The 21282-nt window shown below is 49.4% G+C and overlaps 1 protein-coding gene, 1 long non-coding RNA gene and 1 pseudogene across 3 annotated transcripts in view, besides 5 other annotated features; 1 reads left to right on the top strand and 2 right to left on the bottom strand.

Annotated features, from left to right (window-relative positions):
* Window positions 293–871: an enhancer, noted in NCBI's record as "H3K4me1 hESC enhancer chr18:19744997-19745575 (GRCh37/hg19 assembly coordinates)". NCBI's record gives its function as "activates a minimal SCP1, AML or CMV promoter by ChIP-STARR-seq in primed H9 embryonic stem cells {active_cell/tissue: H9 hESC(primed)}" and the evidence as "EXISTENCE:reporter gene assay evidence [ECO:0000049][PMID:30033119]".
* On the bottom strand, window positions 2155–4225 carry GATA6-AS1 (GATA6 antisense RNA 1 (head to head)). The gene is made up of 2 exons (NR_102763.1): window positions 3924–4225; window positions 2155–3640 (listed from the first exon to the last, which is right to left on the bottom strand). It is a non-coding gene; the product is annotated as a GATA6 antisense RNA 1 (head to head) (long non-coding RNA).
* Window positions 2491–2994: an enhancer, noted in NCBI's record as "H3K4me1 hESC enhancer chr18:19747195-19747698 (GRCh37/hg19 assembly coordinates)". NCBI's record gives its function as "activates a minimal SCP1, AML or CMV promoter by ChIP-STARR-seq in naive and primed H9 embryonic stem cells {active_cell/tissue: H9 hESC(naive and primed)}" and the evidence as "EXISTENCE:reporter gene assay evidence [ECO:0000049][PMID:30033119]".
* Window positions 4846–21282, top strand: part of GATA6 (GATA binding protein 6) — a 32940-nt gene continuing 16503 nt past the window's right edge. Inside the window, exons 1-6 of one of the 2 annotated variants that reach the window (NM_005257.6) lie at window positions 4846–4939; window positions 6365–7536; window positions 12212–12378; window positions 16710–16835; window positions 18014–18101; window positions 18197–18300. In NM_005257.6, coding sequence (NP_005248.2) covers window positions 6402–7536; window positions 12212–12378; window positions 16710–16835; window positions 18014–18101; window positions 18197–18300 — 1620 coding nt within the window. In that variant the 5' untranslated portion in view covers window positions 4846–4939; window positions 6365–6401. Of the gene's footprint in view, window positions 4940–5473; window positions 5615–6364; window positions 7537–12211; window positions 12379–16709; window positions 16836–18013; window positions 18102–18196; window positions 18301–21282 lie in introns of those variants that run through there. The other variant, XM_047437483.1, reaches the window with a different exon arrangement.
* Window positions 6216–7101: an enhancer, noted in NCBI's record as "H3K27ac-H3K4me1 hESC enhancer chr18:19750920-19751805 (GRCh37/hg19 assembly coordinates)". NCBI's record gives its function as "activates a minimal SCP1, AML or CMV promoter by ChIP-STARR-seq in primed H9 embryonic stem cells {active_cell/tissue: H9 hESC(primed)}" and the evidence as "EXISTENCE:reporter gene assay evidence [ECO:0000049][PMID:30033119]".
* Window positions 7102–7986: an enhancer, noted in NCBI's record as "H3K27ac-H3K4me1 hESC enhancer chr18:19751806-19752690 (GRCh37/hg19 assembly coordinates)". NCBI's record gives its function as "activates a minimal SCP1, AML or CMV promoter by ChIP-STARR-seq in naive H9 embryonic stem cells {active_cell/tissue: H9 hESC(naive)}" and the evidence as "EXISTENCE:reporter gene assay evidence [ECO:0000049][PMID:30033119]".
* Window positions 13559–14184: an enhancer, noted in NCBI's record as "OCT4-NANOG-H3K27ac-H3K4me1 hESC enhancer chr18:19758263-19758888 (GRCh37/hg19 assembly coordinates)". NCBI's record gives its function as "activates a minimal SCP1, AML or CMV promoter by ChIP-STARR-seq in naive H9 embryonic stem cells {active_cell/tissue: H9 hESC(naive)}" and the evidence as "EXISTENCE:reporter gene assay evidence [ECO:0000049][PMID:30033119]".
* Window positions 15369–15475, bottom strand: RNU6-702P (RNA, U6 small nuclear 702, pseudogene; annotated as a pseudogene).

A 21282-nucleotide genomic window follows, 5' to 3' on the forward strand; every position in this document is an offset into this window, starting at 1 on the left:
CGAGTCCACACCTTCCCTGGCAGCCTCAGTTCCACCCACCACCTTCAGCCTGGGGTTCAAAGGGAGCGCTGCCCCAGGACCAGCGACGTGGACCAGCACACTGCCCCTTAGCAGACCTACAGGGAGTGGGATGGTAGGTGGGGGCAGTTTGGTTTTATCTTTATTATTTAGTATCAGAAAATAATCAAAACGGAGTGGTAATTTCGGCCCCCTGAGCTTGGCTTAGTTTTTCCGCGAAGTGCACGGGGGCCGTTTTAGGATACCCAGCTCCCACCTGGAGCTCCAGAGCTCCCGGGGACCCCCTTGTCCGCCCGTCTCCTAGGGCCTGGCACTCCCTGGCCCCGCAGCCCGGGGACCTCCACCTTCCCCAGGCGGCAGCCACAGGTCCCGCCGGGCCCGTCCGAGGTCTGCGGCCGCCGAAGTCGGGGTCTCAGGGCGTCAGGGAGCAACCAGGCCGCGGGGAGGGAGGCCGGCGCCGGCGCGGAATTTCTTTATCGGGATTTGAGAGCCGCAAGCTTCTCCTTCGCTTCTTTAAGCGATCACGGAAAGACACCTTTCGATCTTTTGTCAGACATCTTGGCCCTTAATAGCTAAATTTATTTGGTTTAAAGCGGCCACGGGAGAAGCAGGGAGGGAAAATCTTTCGTCGGTCATTGGGTGGCCTAGATAACAGGCTTGGAGAGAGAGCGGAGAAGAAAGTAAAAAGGTTAATGGATGAGGGGAGGGCTGGAGGCGCCCGGCGTGGGGCTTTTACGGCGACCCTCCCCCGGCCGCCCCCTTATCGCAGCCCGAACTTACCCGCGGCGCAGCGAGTACATTAAGTCACGTAAACAGCGCGGAGAGGAATGCCACCGCGGTGACCTTTCGTGCGCCGCCGCCGCTAGCCCACCTCCGCGCCGTGCTGGCGGCCGCCGGCGGCGCACGGGGGTCGGCCGGGGGCTGCGCCGGGCAAGGGGCCTCCGGGCCGGGCCTGGCCTGCGCAACGCGCCGGGCCTCGATTCCGACCGCCCGGGGACCCCGGCGCTGGCTCCGCGCGGTCCTTCCCCGAAGTGGCCGCCGGCGGGAGCCGGCGCTGGGGGTGGGGGCGACCTGCAAGTTTCCGCCGCCACCACCTGACGTTTCTAAAGAGTGTTTTTGGTTTCCCGAGATTTAAACTTAAAGAAAATCACCGCCAGGACTCTGGTCGACGGCCTACCGTGCAGTGCGGCCGCTGAGTGGGGGACACGCCGCCCGGAACCCACCACTGGCCCCAGACGCTGGCAGGGGTGGGGGGCTCTGAGGTGACCCCGGGTCCTTGGGTAAAAGCGTCCCAGAGACGGGAAGAAATATGGTATAAGCGAGAAGGCCTCATAAATCTGGGCTGTTAAAAATCTAAGTTAAAAATATGTTTTAAGTCAGAAATGCATTCTTTTTCCTTATGAAACATCGCCGAAGCAGCCAGTTTTGTGACAGGATCGTAAAATGAGCGTGAGTTTGCGGGGGTGGAGGTGCACGGGGACGCGGGTCCTTGCTGGGTCTCGCCGCTCCTCCGGAAGCGGCGCAAGACTGGGTCCCCAAACACCCTTCCCGTTTGGCAGCCAAGCCCCCGCCCCCTGCCCAATTGGCTGCAGTGTTCTGGGTGGATTCGAATCGCGAATAGTGGTGTGGCGCGGCCGAAATAAATCAACCCTGGGGACAGGCCGCGCCCGGGAGCCAGCCCTCTGTGAGGGTAAGGGGGACGACTTGCCCAGGAGGGGCCGCTCATTGGGTCGAAACAGTCCGGAGAGAACAGTTTCGTTCAAGATTAGCAAATCCCGAAAGAGGAGACATGCGAGGGTGAAAGAAAAAAAAAAAGGAAAGGAAGGAAAAGAAAAAATATATATCCCCACGAAGAAAACAATAACTTTTAAGAGCTGTCCGCGTACTTTGGACACTAGTGGGGGCCTTCTCCCCAGCTCTTGGGTTTCTCCCTAGTTTGGGGTGCACCTCTTCCCTCCAAACTTCCTAATTTGCCGGCCTTCCAGACCAGCTGGGGCGCGCCCAGGAAGCTCCACGCGCGGGTCTGGGGCTCATGGGAGTGGCTTTGAAAACATGCTTGTCTTCCCCAGAGCGGTCCCTAGCGCCAAAGATGCATTGGGGAAAAGGCACATTGGAGACGTCAGGCAGCCTGGTTTTCTGTCTGAATCAACTGTACGAGTTAAACAGTTTTATTTCGAAATTAACCAACATAAACAACAACAACAACAACAACATTCACTACCCATTCCCTCGTTAGGTTGGAAAACCAGTCTGAAAAAATAAATACAATCTGTGACCATGAAAAGGAGCAATCACTTATTTTTCCCATATGTTTTGAACATTATTTTTAAAAATAGATTGGGAATCTGGAGGGTAAAATGCCGGGTCCCTTCCCGAGCCCTTAGAGCCCGAACGTTGTCGAATCGGTCAATGTCCACCCCGCTGCTCACCTCTGTCCCAGCAGCGCCGGGGCCAGCGCGCCCTCCCGCCGCGTCTGCGGAGCTGCGGGAAAAGCAGGTCCCCGGGGGGTATCGAGTGTCCAGGGATATCCACGCAGACATCCTTGTACTTGCAAATACAAAGAAACACACAGGACAGAGATCAGGCTCGCGCCAGGGCTCGATCTCCTCGGGGCTCAGGGTTGGAGGCCGTACACAGCCTGGACACAAACTGAGCCAAAGAGTTTATTTTTAGCAAATAAGATATGAGTTTTTAGAAAATTGCTTCGAATAGCAAATCCGAGAAACATTATTTCAAAACGTTGGAATCAAAGGAAATCAAATGCCCACAACCCATTTCCGTCAGTGCTTACAAATGAGCTTCTGCAAAACCCAGTCCACTTAAACATTTGGTCGGAACTCACGAAAAGAACCAAAAGCAAGGCATTCCGAGTCCTGGCGGGGGTTGAGCGGCCGGGCGGACGCCTGGCTATCTCTTCTGGGAGTCGCGCATTCGATCGCATTCAGGTTAAAATTTAAAGCCCCTGGATCCTGCTCCAGTCGCCAGCCTCTCCATTCCAGAGTTTTCTACCTTCAGCCTTTTCCAAATGCGGCCACGCTGAAACTGGGAGCCGCCGCAGTGATTGGGGGAGGCAAAGTGGAACGTAATAAAAGTGACTAAATTGGATGAGAACGGTTTCTGGACCTTCTCGGTAGCAATTTAAAATTCAGAAGTGTTTAGAAGCAATTTACAACGAAGAATGAAAAACGAAGAATTCTCGCCAACTTCCTGAATTCCTTGCCCCCTCCCCCGCACTGCCAGGCCCTGTCCCGCTCCCCCAGGAGCCACAAGTTCACAACTCACAGTTACGTGCAGAGGAAACAACGCTTAGCTACGAGGTCTCACCATCTCTGGAAACCATACTTTACAAGGCACCTCTCCACCCCAGTTCAACTCTGCACAGGCTCCTCTTCCTTCCCTAACTGGGAAAACACGAAAATAGAAACAAAACAAAAAACCAGAGCCTAAACGCTTTCTAGGAGACCGACCTTCAGAAAATCATTTACTTGGATTTACCTGGGCGGGGGGTAGGGGGTGGGGTCGGGGTAAAGTATAAAAATTCATTCTCACAAAAACAACGCCTCTTGTCCTAAAGTCTCCCTCGGCAGCCTTCTGGGGTCACGTCTGTCGGAAGAAATCCTTTCTGTAAGCGAAAGGGAGCGAGACATATATCACGGCTCCTGCAGCGGACGAGCCTGCGGCCGCGCGAGTTGCCGCTGACAGATCGGCGCTGATAACCCCGCGACGTTCATTTCCAGTCCCTTTTGCCCGCTAGGGACCGTATCAGTTTGTACAGAGTTGTGATAACTGTTTGGAGGGAGCGAAGAGGGGGTGTGTATATGAACGTGGGGGTGGGGAAGCAGCATTTAGCGCTGGGTCCAGGGAAGGTGACACCCCCTCTTCGCAGTGACTTATCTGTGACTTACCTGAAACTCTCCAGGGAAATATCAGAAACTCTCCAGGGACATCAAAAGTTGGAGAGCGTCCTCGGACACGACTGATGTGGAAGCCCTTTTCCATTCTGCGTACCCCATAGACTACCTTTCCGTACATGACGACCCGAGTTAAAGTTCCCAAAGGTCAGCTGGGGAATGTTGTCTTGAGGTTCCCGAAACCACCACGACCTGAGCCGTAGCATCCCGAGATAGGGTCGGAGAAAGTTTAAGGTCGGTCTCACACAACTTCAGGGCAAAAAGCGCATTTGCTGTGAAGGGGCTAGGCGGGGGTTGGGGGGCGGGGGGGCGCAGAGCACGTTCCCCCTTCCTTCTGGGGGCGTGCTGACCCAAGGTCTGGAGCGCCCCTCCCGCCGCGGCGGCGGCGCGGGACTGTGCACTGCCAACTCCTCCCGTGCCAAGGCTCCCTCCCCCTCCCTCGTGTGGGTGTGTGTGTGCGACTGCGGGAGCGGGAGGGTGCACCGCCGCTGGATGGGTGCGGGTCGCTAGCCAGGTCAGGCGTTCTGTGGCCTCCGCCCCTCCCCCGGGGTCCCTGGGCTCGGTGCCCCCCGGGTGGACTCGCCCCCACTCCGGGGACAGGGCTTGCGGCTCAGCCCACGCCCGCAGGCAGCGCGGCTCTCATTGTCTGCCTGGGCGGCGCGCTCCCCTCCCCCCTCGCCGTCCCCTCCCCACCCTCTTTTCTCTCCTCCCCTCGATCCCTCCTCCTCCTCTTCACCTCCAGCGCCCAGCTGCTCGCTGAGCGCAGTTCCGACCCACAGCCTGGCACCCTTCGGCGAGCGCTGTTTGTTTAGGGCTCGGTGAGTCCAATCAGGAGCCCAGGCTGCAGTTTTCCGGCAGAGCAGTAAGAGGCGCCTCCTCTCTCCTTTTTATTCACCAGCAGCGCGGCGCAGACCCCGGACTCGCGCTCGCCCGCTGGCGCCCTCGGCTTCTCTCCGCGCCTGGGAGCACCCTCCGCCGCGGCCGTTCTCCATGCGCAGCGCCCGCCCGAGGTTCGGCTGCTTCCTCCTCGCGCGATCTCCCCGCTTTCCTCCCCTCCACCCCTACTCGTCGCGGGCCCCTGGCCTCCGGCTCTCCGGCCCTCTCCAGGCCGCGGTCGGCTCCGACGGTGTTTCCCTCCTTCCCTCCGGGCGGGCTGAGGCGGCTCCCAGGCTCCCGGGACACCGCGGACCAACTTCTAGTCTCTTTTTCTCTCCTCGAAGCGCTTATCTGCGCGCAGCCTTATCTCCGAGTTATCTCGGCGCAAAGGGGCGGGAGCCGGTAGTTAGGCAGGCAGAGAAACTTCTTTCTTGCTATCTAGCCAGGTCTGTGTGTGGGCATTAATTTTAGTGTGGTAATCTCCGATGAGCCGAGGCGATTTGGAAGAGCAGCCTGGAGGAGGCCAGCCCGGCTGCATTTCACCTCCCTCCCCCACTCGCTCCGAGTCTCCCTGTCATTCTTCCTGCTCTCCCATTTGGGGTCGCCTCGGCTCTGGGGCGGTCTCACGCTCCCCCCTCCCCAGCCCGTTGCGTTCCCCCTCCTTTTCTCTGCTCTCCGCTCCACCCCGCTACGTCCGATTCCGGAACGGTCCGGCGTTTCTGCTGCTGGAGATGACCGCGGGGTGGGCCGGGTGGCCCGGCCGGCGTGAGCGCGCACGCTGGTGGCTGCAGGCGCGGGCCGTGTCTAAGGTGTGCGGCGCCGCGGGGACGCCGGTGGGGCTGGCGATTCCCGCCCCACAAGCTCTCCGCATTGCCTCTGCTGGGAAGGACCCAGACTGCTGCCCCCGCCCTGGCGTCCCACTTTCCCTGGGCCGAGTTGCATTTCTCTCTGGGGCTCGCGTTCGGGCTGGTCAGCGCAGTCCGGGAAGCTCTGGGAGAGCCAATATAGGAGAACGCGGCGGTTTCGTTTTCGGGGACAGGTTGCCTTCCTTACGCGAAGGGTTTTCCCGTGGGGAACCCTCACCCCGAGGCATTTCGGGAGAGGGGCATCCGCAGAGAGGCGGGATGCGGCGGTGCCGACACGCACAGCTACTTAAATTCTTTTGTGTGTCATCAGCCCGGGGGAGACACTTTAGGGCGGAAGGAAAGCCTCAGCCAGCTTCTGCAGATCACCCCTGGGATCTGGCGCGCGCACGGAGAAAGGATGCGGCCGAGGGGGTGGGCGGGGAGGACGCGGGGACCGGAGCGGTGCCTTTGAGGGAGGGCTGGTATCCCAGCCCTTCCAGGGCCCTGTGGCGGCTGCGCAGGCTCCCTTCCCCTCCCTTATTGATCTCCACGCCCGGGGCAGAAATAGGATCTTTGAGAAGTCTCAAATGGGATCTTTGAGAAGTCAGATCCCATTTGAACTAGAAAAAGGAGTGGAGGCGAGGTAGCGTGCAGCCTACGCTCTTGTTAACCCGTCGATCTCCTACCATACCCGTCTCCCCCACCCCACCTCAGGAGCTAGACGTCAGCTTGGAGCGGCGCCGGACCGTGGATGGCCTTGACTGACGGCGGCTGGTGCTTGCCGAAGCGCTTCGGGGCCGCGGGTGCGGACGCCAGCGACTCCAGAGCCTTTCCAGCGCGGGAGCCCTCCACGCCGCCTTCCCCCATCTCTTCCTCGTCCTCCTCCTGCTCCCGGGGCGGAGAGCGGGGCCCCGGCGGCGCCAGCAACTGCGGGACGCCTCAGCTCGACACGGAGGCGGCGGCCGGACCCCCGGCCCGCTCGCTGCTGCTCAGTTCCTACGCTTCGCATCCCTTCGGGGCTCCCCACGGACCTTCGGCGCCTGGGGTCGCGGGCCCCGGGGGCAACCTGTCGAGCTGGGAGGACTTGCTGCTGTTCACTGACCTCGACCAAGCCGCGACCGCCAGCAAGCTGCTGTGGTCCAGCCGCGGCGCCAAGCTGAGCCCCTTCGCACCCGAGCAGCCGGAGGAGATGTACCAGACCCTCGCCGCTCTCTCCAGCCAGGGTCCGGCCGCCTACGACGGCGCGCCCGGCGGCTTCGTGCACTCTGCGGCCGCGGCGGCAGCAGCCGCGGCGGCGGCCAGCTCCCCGGTCTACGTGCCCACCACCCGCGTGGGTTCCATGCTGCCCGGCCTACCGTACCACCTGCAGGGGTCGGGCAGTGGGCCAGCCAACCACGCGGGCGGCGCGGGCGCGCACCCCGGCTGGCCTCAGGCCTCGGCCGACAGCCCTCCATACGGCAGCGGAGGCGGCGCGGCTGGCGGCGGGGCCGCGGGGCCTGGCGGCGCTGGCTCAGCCGCGGCGCACGTCTCGGCGCGCTTCCCCTACTCTCCCAGCCCGCCCATGGCCAACGGCGCCGCGCGGGAGCCGGGAGGCTACGCGGCGGCGGGCAGTGGGGGCGCGGGAGGCGTGAGCGGCGGCGGCAGTAGCCTGGCGGCCATGGGCGGCCGCGAGCCCCAGTACAGCTCGCTGTCGGCCGCGCGGCCGCTGAACGGGACGTACCACCACCACCACCACCACCACCACCACCATCCGAGCCCCTACTCGCCCTACGTGGGGGCGCCACTGACGCCTGCCTGGCCCGCCGGACCCTTCGAGACCCCGGTGCTGCACAGCCTGCAGAGCCGCGCCGGAGCCCCGCTCCCGGTGCCCCGGGGTCCCAGTGCAGGTAAGGGTCGCGCCTCAGGTTCGGGGTGCGGGTCCAAAGCGCTGGGGCGCACGGGGGACGTGGAGCAGCTGCTCCACTCGGGCCCTGTTTTCAGGACTTTCTCGTCCGGGTGCGCGGAGGTCGGCCTGGTCCCAGGAAGGATTTGCAGGCCTGTGGCTGGGTAACCCAGAGTCCGGTAGCGCTGAGGCGAGTTGTGCCAAGACTTGAGTCTGTTGTGCCAAGTTCCTTTCCACGGATGAGACTAAATGCACATCTGTACCTTCGTGCCTTGGGGAAGCTCAGGGCCTTGATGAGTAGTGAATGGCATCTGCTATTGGGGAAAAACGAGGCTGGGAGGGAACTAACAGCGCTTGAGCCCCATCGCAGACCCTACTTTGGGTGAGTGGAAGAAATTCCACGATGGGAGTAAGTTTGGGAGAGTGGCGGGCACTTGATCCACCCCCAAACAGACACACAAGCACATGCAGGCTCACCCAGTTTAACTCTCCAAAGGGTGCGTGTTTGTGTTTTCCTAGAGAAGGGTATTTAGAAGAGCACAACAGAAGAACCTAGATGTTCCTAGGGAAGCTAGTTGGCGTCTCCTCTCCCACAAGGGAGAGAGGGAAAGAAGAGAGGGCACCTGGAGTGGTCAGACTTGTGACTTCATGGTGAAGGAGAGCTGGTGGATAGGCCCTTGGGCTTGGCATCAGCTGGGCCTTGGTCTGGGGCTGCTGCTCACATGGCCAGGCTGCAACTCAGGGATCCTGGAGCTGGGGCACCTATTCTCCCTTCGAAGTTTAGCCCGCCAATTTTTCAGTTTCCAATTTGACTCATTTTTTCCTGTATCTGGGAGCCATTAGGGGGTAAACCGTGAAAACGCTATTGTCAAAAATACCTGGAAATACCTCGTTTTGAAAAGTGTTTTGTTTACTCCAGCACAGGAGTGTGGGAGCCCTGTTAGGCTGTTTTTCTCAGATGCAACATTCTGCGTCCTTGGTGCTTTCAACTGGCTTATCTTACCTTATATTTCACCTGTTTGATAATCTTTCTAAGGAAACAACATCTTTTTTTATTGTAGTTTGTTTGAGGGGAGGTGTGGGGGAGGCCCCTTGAGTCACAGAGGTGGCAGAGTGGAGGAAGGCACATTACTCCAAACAGTCCTACCCCGGTGTCTTGTGTATCCCAGGTCTGTGCTTCTCGTGGGAGCCTCGACGCTACCTTTAGGACAGCAAGTCAGTCCTAGGGGCCAGGATTCCTTAGGATAAAATGGGACATTCCCAACCTTGTCCGCAAAAGACACGCTGGAAATGCAAGTGGTCTGAAAGAGAGGGAACCAATTTGAACAGCTCTCTGATAGCCTGAGTTCTTTCTGTCTTCTTCCAAGCGCTGCAAGACTTGGTCTCAAAATTCCCTCTTTTTAGTTTTGCTCTGTCGCCCAGTCTGGAGTGCAGTGGCTCACTGTAATCTCTGTCTCCCGGGTTCAAGCGATTCTCCTGCCTCAGCCTCCCGTGTAGCTGGGATTACAGGCGCGCGCCGCCACACCTAGCTAATTTTTGTATTTTTAGTAGTTTTTGCCACGTTGGTCAGGCTGTTTTTGAACTCTTGACTTCAGGCGATCCATTCGCCTCAGCCTCCCAAAGTACTGGGATTATAGGCGTGAGCCACCGCGCCCAGCGAAATTCCCTCTTTTTGCTTCTGCTGCAAAGCTGGCCCTGGAGACCATTTTTCCCCTGTGTGTGGAATGGGATCGGGGGACCCTGTTGAGATTTGCACTGTTGGCTTGGGACTTGAGAGTCAGGGCTCTCATCCTTACCTCTGCATAGGGACCCGTGTTTGGCTCCCAGGAGCAGAGAGATGGAGAGGCTGGGAATCTCTAAGGAGGTAATGGTTGGGTGTGAAGCTTATTTTGTCAGTCGGGGAGTTCCGTAGGGAATGTGCAAGGGTGTTGTGAGTTGGGTGAGGGGTAGTATCTGCAGATTGAGCCAGCGCCTGCAGCTCTGCCTATTTCTTGACACACCTTAGCCTGATCTCCAGGTTCCTTTCCTCCAATCTTCCAGCATTTCATATGGCTGAGAGAGTCTTTTGATGTTTACAGTAACTGGTCCTGTATGAGAAATCCTTTTAGAGGCAGTATGGGGCAGTTGTGGGCAAGTTAATATGTTTCTTTTTGTTTTAAATTTAGCCTACACTTTTCCTAATTTTTTCATCTTCTGGGCACACCACAGTTAGAGGAATTTTCTGTAGACCCAGAAGATTTGTTATTTTTTTAAGTATTTTTTTAAGTATGTTTAAAAAAATGGGAAGGGATTTGGGAACACCCAGCTTTTGCATAGAGTCTGTTAGGAAATCAGGAAGTGACTGGGACCAAGCCAGTATTGGGGTGAAGGGTGGGGAGCGAGTGACCCTAACTTTGCTTGTCCTCACAGGTATTCTGAGGCCAGCTTCCTAGCTAGATTTCCTGTTTCTTAGATTTTTTTTTTTTTTTAAACAAACCGTTTTTGGAGGCAGACACTTTAAACACCAGAGCTAAAACCTGAGTGCTGAACTTGATCAACCCGCACAATTTGGAGGCTTCTGGAAACCCACACTATGCACCTCTCGCTGACTGGGTAGATGGGGTGAGCTTACTTTGGGGTGAGCTCAGAGTCCTCACACTCCTTTATTTCCTGGGTCCTACACCCTCCTAAGCGCCTGCAGAACTGTGAGTCCCTGTGTCTTGGTACCACACACAGAAAGACAGGTGGTGGTGCCCTTCTCCCCTGAATCTATCACTCCCCAAGGGCACCGCAAACAGCCATGTTAGGAGAGAAATGGTGAGTTGAAAAGGGGGAACTTGGTGAGCAAGCCCCCAGCTTTTATATCTTACAGCTTTTATAAAGACAGCATTTTTTTTTCCTTTTTAGTCACTTACAGGATTATAGCTGCCTGGTGGGTTTGGGAAAGAGGTAGGGAGGGAATGAGAGAGATTTTATTCAACTAAAAATAAGCAAGCTTCCTAGGTTGTATTTATCCAAAGTGGACTTTTAATTAAATTTTGTCTTTGGGTTTTCAGATGACTAAATAGTTCTACCTGGGGAGTTCACACTGTCTTCTAATAGGATTCTTATTGTTCCCAGTCATAGGACTGGGTTTTCCAGGGAATGCCCCACTCCTCTATCCAGAGGGGCTCTGATAGGTAACATTTTAAAGTCAACAACAAAGACAAATACCTTGTTTAACTTCAGTGTCCTTGAAGACCTGAGCATTTTACTGATTACCGTAGTCAATAGTGGCTTTTAGGGCGGAGAAGAATAAACCTTTGTGATGTGTTGTAAGTTGCAGTATCCCCATGACAACTTTGAACTCGGGTTGTGTAGGATGCCAGTTTCTTTAAAACTTAATAAGAAATGAGAAAAGAGACTTGTTTTGTAAATAGTATTAATGGAATTAAAGTTTTTATGCTAAAGTCATATTTAAATATCGTTACCACACAGTTGATAGTAGACACAAGCAATAAACTGCAAGGGGATGAGAAAGAACCAAAAGGTTCACCAGCACATAATCTTAAGCTAAAACTCTGAAGTGTAATGTTTATTTACTTTAAAAAGTGATTCAGGAATGCTTCTTCAATAATGCAGAACTAGGACATTTAAACCTTCTATAATCTAAAGAACCTTAAATGGCGGTCTATACTTTTTTTTGGTCTATACTTACAATAAGTACCTTTCTCATTTTTAGAGACATTTATTCTTCCATATTTAACCTTCTTGAGAAGTAATAAATGTTACATTTACTCTTAATTAGGATTTGTTTTTATTAGCAGGTTTAGGTTATTGTGAATTCTGAAAACTAACCAAAGAATAATAATAATAAAATTATGTAAAATAAACACATTTTAAATCGATTGCTAACTCAAAATGATCACTGGGAAGGTCTTGGTAATTTTCTCAATCAGTAAGGTATCAACCTTTTATAAAAATTTTGCAGATAGAAGCAGTTGGACCCACTTCTAAATCGGGATTTTAGCATTTGATCTTTGTGGCATGAAAATAAAACTCTGTGCTTAACGTTAGTGCATTTTTCCCCTGAAAAGATGAGAGTAATCTTCTCATTTCTAGTTTCTAACTAACGTAGGTGCCTAAGAATAGTACTTTTAATTTCACTTGTGTATCTTTAATTGGAGAAGAGGCACATATGGACGGGTGGCAGATGTAGAAAATACTTTTTAAAATTACTTGAGATAAAAGTTAATGAGGCAGCCTCGCTGTGTCCCCGGATATTTGTGGGTTGCAGCGGGGCTCAGTGGTCAGTATTTCTGTGTGGCTTGCTCGGGTTTGGCAACGACGTACTGTAATGATGATGGATTTCAGTCTTTAAAAGCTCCGGGACAGCCTGAGAGTAGGGGTCAGGGGACTCAAGCCGACCTCCCCACCGCTCATCTCGGACTCTGACGTCCTCTGCTTCCAGCACTGTCTCTTTCCCGGAGTCTCTACTGGGGCGCTCCGGGTGTGCAGAAGTATTGGACAAATGGTCAGTGGAGCAATAGTGACGAAATAACCCTGCTCCTGGCTTTGCGGCCAAGGAGAAAAGCTCAGCCGGGAAGGGCACGGGCAGGGAAGCCGGGCACCGGGGCTGGGGGCCGGGGTCCCCGGGGTGACGCGGGGAGGGACGGGTCCGGCGCGCCCACTCCCGCCCTCACGCACCGCTGTCGCCGCAGACCTGCTGGAGGACCTGTCCGAGAGCCGCGAGTGCGTGAACTGCGGCTCCATCCAGACGCCGCTGTGGCGGCGGGACGGCACCGGCCACTACCTGTGCAACGCCTGCGGGCTCTACAGCAAGATGAACGGCCTCAGCCGGCCCCTCATCAAGCCGCAGAAGCGCGTGGTGAGTGTGACCCGCCCTGCCCCTGGCTCGCGGCCGGCCCCGGGCTCTCCTGGCCCGGCCGGCCCCGCCCTGGCTCGGCCTGCCTTGGGCGTCCCCCTCCCAGGGGACAGGTGCGGCCGCTGCGGTCCCACCCTAGCGGGGACCCAGCGGTACCATCCTGTCCCGGCTGTTCCAACGCCCACCCGCTGGCGCCCAAGTAGAAGTTACCCCGAAACTGGCCTCTGGGAAGCCAAGATAGCCTTTCCCCATGTTTACGCGCAGGGGATGACGTCCGTAAATGACAAAAACAAAAACAAACAAAAAAGGAAGGTGCAAAATGTTACCATGTTTTAAGCAAAAAAAGAAAAAATAATCTATATATCTCTAGGTGTACTTGCCAAAGCACCGTAATAATTCTGGTAAGATAGGCAAGAAATTGGTGATGGTAACCCGAGGAGAAAAACAGTAGACCTACCGAGGCCGGGCGAAGGAAGACTTTTTTCACTGTGTATGGTTTAGATTTTATGCTTGAAAAACCATGCTCACTTATACCATTCGTCCCCCAAATAGAATATGCCAGAAATCCACCCACTCACGCCTCCTCACAGCCACATTCTTTTGGGTGCCGTTTACTTTGTCCTTTCCACCTTCTTGGTCACTTCTACCTCTTATCCTCAGGTGTATCCCCAAATACCATATCTTGGATTGCCCTTGAGCCTGGTGAAAATTTATTTGCTCTAACTTTTGTTATTTCAAAATCAGAGAACTTTGTAGAACTTGAGTAAAAGTGTGGTTTGTATGTTCTTAAGTTGAGCATTTTCCCCAATTCGCACACGTTTTACTGTTTTTTTGTTTTTTTTTTTTTTTTTTTTTTTTTTGAGACGGAGTTTCACTCTTGTTGCCCAGGCTGGAGTGCAATGGCGCGATCTCGGCTCACCGCAGCCTCCGCCTCCAGGGTTCAAGCGATTCTCCTGCCTCAGCCTCCCGAGTAGCTGGGATTACAGGCATGTGCCACCACGCCCGGCTCATTTTTTTGTATTTTTAGTAGAGACAGGGTTTCTCCATGTAGGTCAGGCTGGTCTCGAACTCCCGATCTCATGTGATCCCGCCCGCCTCGGCCTCCCGAAGTGCTAGGATTACAGGCGTGAGCCACCGCGCCCGGCCACCATGTTTTAAAGTAAGGGAATCCTGATTTCAGGGATTAATCTCGTATTGTCATTGTTATGTGTGCTTCCTAGCCGGAGAGAGTATTTACCGCTGTAATAGAGAAAATAAAGGAAAGCTTTCACCAGTCCCACTCTAAGGTTAACATTTGTTTAGCGAAGTACTCATAATCTAATAACCCTTTAAAGCTAAATATGTTACAGTTAGATGCCAGACGTCTTAAGTATCCCAGTAATTTATTTGTTATACTCTAATTAGCAGGAACAAATGCTACACATGTTGTTTGTGTTAAATAGATTAGAGTGAAATTGCATCACAATGTAAGTCTGACACCTTAAAGAGAAGCAATTAGTTTTATGGTTGGTTTTGTTTTAATGCATTTAAAATAAAGTGGCCGAGGTTAATTTAATGAGTGTATGTGCCTTAAACTCGTTACAACCTCCCACAGCTTAAAATTTTCTTTAAAGGGTACCCTTAACTGCAGTGTGTGACTGTGGGTTTCATGTTTTCTTAAATGCATCATATTAAAGAAGAAAAAGTAGTAACTGGAAAATATCCCACAGAAGTTCCTTGTTTTCATATAATAGACAACACATGAACAATGAAACCGATTTATTTTTCTGGAAAGGCACATTGAGCTGAGTACTAACTGAACTTTCAAAGGTAACATTTTCTAGAGATTGAGCAAAAATTTGGTGGAATAGTAGTCATTTAGGTTCCAGTTGCATTATAAATTTGATCTAGTAACATTTAGATAGTGCCATTTGTTTTGTGCATGTACCAGTAAAAATAACTTAGAAGGAAAAAAAAGAACAGTTTTTAGCATTTCTGAATCGTTAGCTTTCTTTGTGCTTAGCAGGTGTCTTGGCCATAACCAAGGTCAGCAAATATGCTTTGTAAATGGGTTATAAATGATACCAATTGAAGGGTGTGTCACTATCAATTAGGTCTCCTTGTGGGCTTCTTATTTATGGTTTTGATGGATCTGGCTTAGTTCTCAGAAGCAGAATGTTGAACTCAAGTTTGTTTAGCCAGCACTATAGAACCAATCACTGTGAATTTGAACTTGCAATACATTGCAAAATAAGAGATTTATGGTGTAACTTGAATTCCTTGTCAGTGAGGAATATGACTGAGATCACTTGTTACAAGGAACTTTTATAACCCATTCACCTGCATTTCACATGTTTATGAGGACTGGCTTCACTTATGATCTGCAGTTGACAGTCATAAAGTCCTTTGTTATAATGGCAAATTCTGATAACAAGTTTGCTTCACATTGGCTCCAAATTCCACTGGAAACTGTCATAAATGGCTGGTTTATAAAGTGAACCTTCCTGTCCCTTGTTTACTGATTTCACATTTATGAAGAGAAAGGAATCCTTTCCTAAAAAATTATTTTCTTTTAACCACAAAGAAAGAAAAAAGAAAAGCCTGGATGTGTAAAGTTTTGTTAATATGTTGTCATCATTTTAGCAAAGCAGTTTCCCAGGTAGCTCTCCTGTGAGCCAAGCATACTCATTTCAACTAAAGGCAAATTGATTCTTAGCACTGACTTCCTAGAAATGTTGTAGTGCTAAAAGGTTTGCCAGTGTCTCTGTTTATAACTTCTCTGTAGAGTGATGCTAAGTAATGCAACAGGATGTAAACCATAAATGCAGATTTTAATTTCATCTTTTAAATTTCCCAGCAAAGGTTTTGGAAGTCTCTGTCCTGTAATCTGTGAATATTCGATACATACTCAATTTACATTTCTCTCTTCTTCATTCTTTACAATTGATCTTAACTTCCCAAATTTTGTAATTTTCAACTTGGTTTGGTCCTGAATCTTTCTCTGATTTTTTTTTTTAACTATGGAAGGCTTCACGAATTTGGGTGTCATTCTTGCGCTGGGGCCATGCTAATCTTCTCTGTATCCTTCCAATTTTAGTATATGTGTTGCTGAAGCAAGCATCCATTTTTTTTTTAACTGAAGCTATGTCACAATTTTTAAAGTAATTTACAGCATTTGAAAGGAAATTTAAGCTTGGCAACTTAAAAACGAGTTTTATATTTTGCCATTCTGGGTAAGAAGTTATGTTAGCTTATTATAATTAACATGTAGTAATCTAGAGGTAATAAATTCCCTTTAAGGCTGTTATGGGCATAAAGAAAACATGGAAATGGGAGTGACAGTGGCAGACAGGTGGCCTTTTACCTTTCCTGGTAATACCAATTAACCCTTTGCATGAACGAAAGTTGAGAATAATACTGATAGGGCAAATACTGATATTAGTATCACTGCATCTAAGACAGTGGCAGCATTAAGATTATGCCATAAAATTTGCTCGTATCCTTTGTAAAATAGATAAAACAAAAATGCAGGCAGCAGGCAATCATGATGGTAATTATGGAATGTATTCAAATATATTTCTTTTTTTTTTTTAAAAAAAACTTTTACCCCTCTTCTGAAAGCCATTTCTAATAATGTACTTTCAAAGTTTCCATTAACGTACTTTCAAAGTTTCTGGTTTACTCCTTTACATATATCTGAGAAATAGACCTGGTGATCTCCGGTTTTCAGGGGAAGTGGAGACTGCCCAGAGCCATTTAGCACATTAGCAAGTGGCTTGTGATTGCATTTCACGACCTAAATCTTAGACCTGTGACTATAGTGCACGGCCAATTGCTGTCCACGGTGGGGGGTGGGCGGCAGGGAGGTGGGGCACTTTCATGTTAATGTCTACTTGTGTTGTTACTTCTGGTGTGTTTTGAGTATAACTCTATTTGGCCAACTTTTAGAAAATCTTTTAATTCCCCTAAAAAAGATACCAGTAGTATCTGGGAAACTCTAAATTGGAGAAGAAACCAGGGATGAAACTCTCCTTGATATGATGCTGGTAAAAGCTTTGCATGAAGTTATTGGCCAACTATATGACTGCTCCCGGGTATTCTTGAATTCACGGAGACAGGCTAGCTGGAGAAGTAAATCAAATCTATAGGGTCCAGCATACTATGCAAACCTCAAATTTCTTGGCCCAGAAAAGTCAGTATAAGTACACTGCAATTTTTTTTCTCAAGGACCATTTCATTTATAATAAAACAGATACATACTTGTTGATGACAGGGACAAAATACCTTAATGTATGTATGTAATATATATATATGTCACTTATATTTTTCCACTTATGTTCTTGTACTGTTTCTAGCCTTCATCACGGCGGCTTGGATTGTCCTGTGCCAACTGTCACACCACAACTACCACCTTATGGCGCAGAAACGCCGAGGGTGAACCCGTGTGCAATGCTTGTGGACTCTACATGAAACTCCATGGGGTATGCCATGTATTCTGCTCACTTGTATATACATTTAGTATCTGGTTTGTATGTGATATCAGTTACAAAGAATCAGCAAATGAAAGATACTCAAGTGAAAAATTTGAATGCATATAATTTATTACTGAATATGTTTAATATATTCAGTGTACATACTGAATATATTTATTGAATTGAAGGTGCTTTTAATTATAATATGAAATATTACCTTATGCACCAGTAGGAAACAAAAAATGCTACCAGTTGAACTATTGCAAACGTTCATTTAAGACACATTCCAGTTTTAGAAATGTGAAAATGTGAAAAGTGTGTATTTTAGAATTGGTAATATGGTAGTAACTGTTTTTAAAAATGCACAATTAAGGAAATCAATAAAAAATGCACAATCACTAGTCTATATCTCTTAAAAATTTTGAATGTAATCAGACATTTGTGCAAAAGAGTAATGCATTTAATAGTTATAGTTTGAAATATTTCATAGTTCATTTTAAAGGATTGCACAAAATATAATAAACAACTCAATCTTAAAAAGAAAAATAACCTTGCATCTGTAGGAGGAAGGAAATACATGATCTCTTTGAAATAATACTTCTTCAATGAATAGCTACTCATTTCAAACAATAAACGTTAAGTTGAAGGAATTAAATTCTCCTTGGCAAATCATCTCATTCTTTCTGAAGGAATCTCTGCATTTGATGAGGAAAGTGTAGTCTTTGTGCACTTGGGATCTTGAGTGTGTATAAAAATTGGATTGAAATTTATGCCAAGTTCTTTTTTTTTTTTTTTTTCTTGTTTTGAGATGGAGTCTAACTCTTGTTGCCCAGGCTGGAGTGCAGTGGTGCTATCTCGGCTCACTGCAACCTCCACCTCCTGGGTTCAAGCGATTCTCCTGCCTTAGCCTCCCAAGTAGCTGGGATTACAGGCATGCGCCAACAAGTCTGGCTAATTTTTGTATATTTAGTAGAGACGGGGTTTCGTCATGTTGGCCAGGCTGGTTTCGAACTCCTGACCTCAGGTGATCTGCCTGCCTCGGCCTCTGAAAGTGCTGGGATTAGAGGCGTGAGCCACTGCACTCGGCCGCCAAATTCTTTTAAATGAGAGCTTTTAGTGCCAATGTTGGGTCTTTGGTTTTTCTTCAATATAATATTAAATTTATGGCCTATGTGAAAATTTTTTAGGTGCCCAGACCACTTGCTATGAAAAAAGAGGGAATTCAAACCAGGAAACGAAAACCTAAGAACATAAATAAATCAAAGACTTGCTCTGGTAAATATACTAAAATGACGTTTGACTGTAAAGTATTTGCCAACCTTAACAGTAGAGCATATGTATATTTATAAGGTTTATTTTGACTGTTGCAGGTAATAGCAATAATTCCATTCCCATGACTCCAACTTCCACCTCTTCTAACTCAGATGATTGCAGCAAAAATACTTCCCCCACAACACAACCTACAGCCTCAGGGGTAAGTATTAAAACAGCATAGACTCCTAAATTACTGGGCTGCTCTCTAGTAAATTATCTCAAATTTTATCTTATCTGGTAGTACAATAATCTAAACCAACAGTTCAGTTTAGTTAGTTGATACCTAAGAATAGTTTTTAGAGGAAATTACATTTAAATGTCAACAAAATGACAAACTTAAGTACTTTACAAACCTCTTAATTAAGATCGGTATCATTTTTTTATGGTTAAATTAACCCAAGTAAAAGCAAGAAGTTTTGGTTTAAAGTGTTTTAAATTGTTTTATTTCCAGGTTTTTATCAGAGTTGCTATATATATTATATGTGTATATTTATGTATTTCCGATGTAGATCATAAGAACTATGAGGCCAGTGGTTTCATAGATTACAGTGCCCATAACAGTTAAGTAGCTTTTGTTTATCCTATCAATTCCAGCCTTTTTTTCTTTTTTTATCATCCACCCAAAGCAAAGCTCATCATAAAGTGTTATATGCTGCTGTATTCACTATTTCCTTTGCCCAATTGTGTTCTTGCTGGGAGAGCTTGCCTTCTTCTAATGTACCTTAATTGTACTGGCGTTTATTTCAGCTATGACAAAACCTAGGAGTGATTTGTGCCACTGTGGACAGGAGATGCCTGGGTCTTCGTGAGGATCACAGACTTAGTTTCTTATAAAGCTGTGACCAAAACTCAGTTTGCCTCTAGTAGAGAGCATTTTCCCACCCTAATGTTTCCCAAATTTACCTGGAATGCCCTTCTAAAAAATACTGGGCCTTCCCTCAGACGTCAGTGAGCTCCAAGGCAGGGCCTGCGGCAAGCAGGACTTTAAAATGTGTCCTTGTGACCCTTGGGACTACACTGAGACAAGATTAGGACTAAACACCAGCATTTAAATGCCTATTTACTTAGTAATTGTTTTCTACATTTAGTTTTCTCCTGAAATTATTTGGGGTACTTTAAAATACTACAGATTCCTGGGCCCCACCCTGGATTTTCCAAGTCAGAGTCTCTGGGTGTGGGACTTGGATATCTATCTGTTGTTGAACAAGTGCCCCAGGTGAAATTGGAACTACTGCCCCGGAGGTGTTTGGGAACCACAGACCTGGTTTCTTTCCACTGTATTTTTACTGGCTTTAACAAACAAAAATTAAATATTTAAAACAAAATGTTTAAACTGTGCTTAAAATTATATTTGATATTTTTCTTTGTCCTCCTACCCAAATTCTTTTGAGCCTTTTCTGTAAGGAAACAAAACGTCTTTTTAGAGTTTCACAAGGGAAGAAGCCTTTTAGTTGTTTTTTTTTTTGCAGACTCATGGTAAAGAATGTTTCTAGGCTTTATAAAGGTGGACTCCATGCTATGGTGTTGTGTTTTACAGGCAGGTTAGATGTAACTGAGGATTGAAAGTGGTAAATAGAACATGTTTCTTGGGAAATGAAAAGATTATTTAATAATAATTATTTTTTTTTTGAGGCTGAGTCTTGCTGTCACCGAGGCTGGAGTGTGCAGTGGCGCAATCTCGGCTCACTGCAACCTCCACTTCCCGGATTCAAGCAATCCTCCCACTTCAGCCTCCCGAGAAGCTAGAATTACAGGCATACACCAACTCACCTGGCTAATTTTTTTTTGTATAGTTAGTAGAGACGGGGTTTCACCATGTTGGCCAGGGTGGTCTCGAACTCCTGTCCTCAAGTGATCCACCTACCTCAGCCTCCCAAAGTGCTAGGATTACAGGCATGAGTCACCGCGCCTGGCCTAAAAATATCCTTTATTATGCCGTAGTCCTCAGGAGCAATTATGTAGCTAGAGGCAAAACAATTTGGTTTTCTAAAGCAGGGAGGGAGCCGCCTCTCTCCTAGCTGAAATGAGGACTGCTGCCAGCTCCAAGTCACTTTTGTTGGTGGTACAGTCCAGCTTAAATGTGGCAAAAAGACTAATTTGAATGATAAATTGCACTGAGGTCGATATATACCCAACAATGGGCTTCGGGGACTTGGAACCATTGTGGGTGGAGTCTTGTGATTTTGTGACGTAAAATTTCAAAATTTGCTATTAGCAAGTCCTATCGGTTGCTGTCCAGCGAAAGGAGTGAAAAGCCAGTGAAAAGGGCCATGGTCTGGCTAGAAGAAGGGCCTTGGGAGTTCCATCTCTGGTCCTAGGCTTATTGTCCCAGGAACTCTCACCAGGGACAGAGCAGATGGAGGTGGCTTGCTGGTCAATGCCCTTCAGAGGAAAGATCAGTTCCCCACCAGAGGCCAGGAGGCAAAGCAACAAGGATGTTAAGGATGGGGTTGGAGAGTACTAGTTTCACACCAGGTCTTCAGCTGCAAGCTTCCATCCCTGCGGTAGTCTAGGCAGCCTCCACGGGGACTGAGAAGCTGGGAGTGGCTGGTGTGAGCTGCAGCCAGGGGGCATCTCTCCGAGCTCTCCAGCCTCTGGGCTGCGCAGCAGAAACACTGACTGCCATTACCAGGGCAGGGGGTAGGGTTGCTGGCCTGCCTACCAACCTCCCCAGTTCCCCAGGGACTGACTCTTGGCCTTGTTCCGAGGGCACACACGGCTGGTGCCTGGGCTTGCAGGGTTTTATTTCATGGATGTCTCCAAAAGCCTCTACCTGCTGTGGCCATTGTGGGGAAACAGCTACTCGTCTGCTGGCTGCCTTTGGAAGCTGTCCCCCTGTAAGAATACCTGTAGTAGGCTTGAGTGGTGTCCCCAGGTTGTTTTCATGGCGTGCCTGCGTATAACTGTGGATCCCTTCGCACTTTTTGATGTCCTCTCTGGGTGGGCTGAGCCTTCATGTGTATGGCATGGCCCATGTGGCTGCCGAGTAGCTGTGAAGAGTCTGCTGGAGGAGCCATCTGTGAGCAGCTGGTAGAAGCATTTCTAAAAGGTGCCTGTGTTGACAAAGGTGTGTCATTTTCCCATTTTGGTCACAGTGCATAATGTTAGAGGGCAGCTGGCTTTGTGACTGATTGCCTGTAGG

Source organism: Homo sapiens, chromosome 18 (assembly GCF_000001405.40).
Source record: "Homo sapiens chromosome 18, GRCh38.p14 Primary Assembly".
Lineage (NCBI taxonomy): Eukaryota > Metazoa > Chordata > Mammalia > Primates > Hominidae > Homo > Homo sapiens.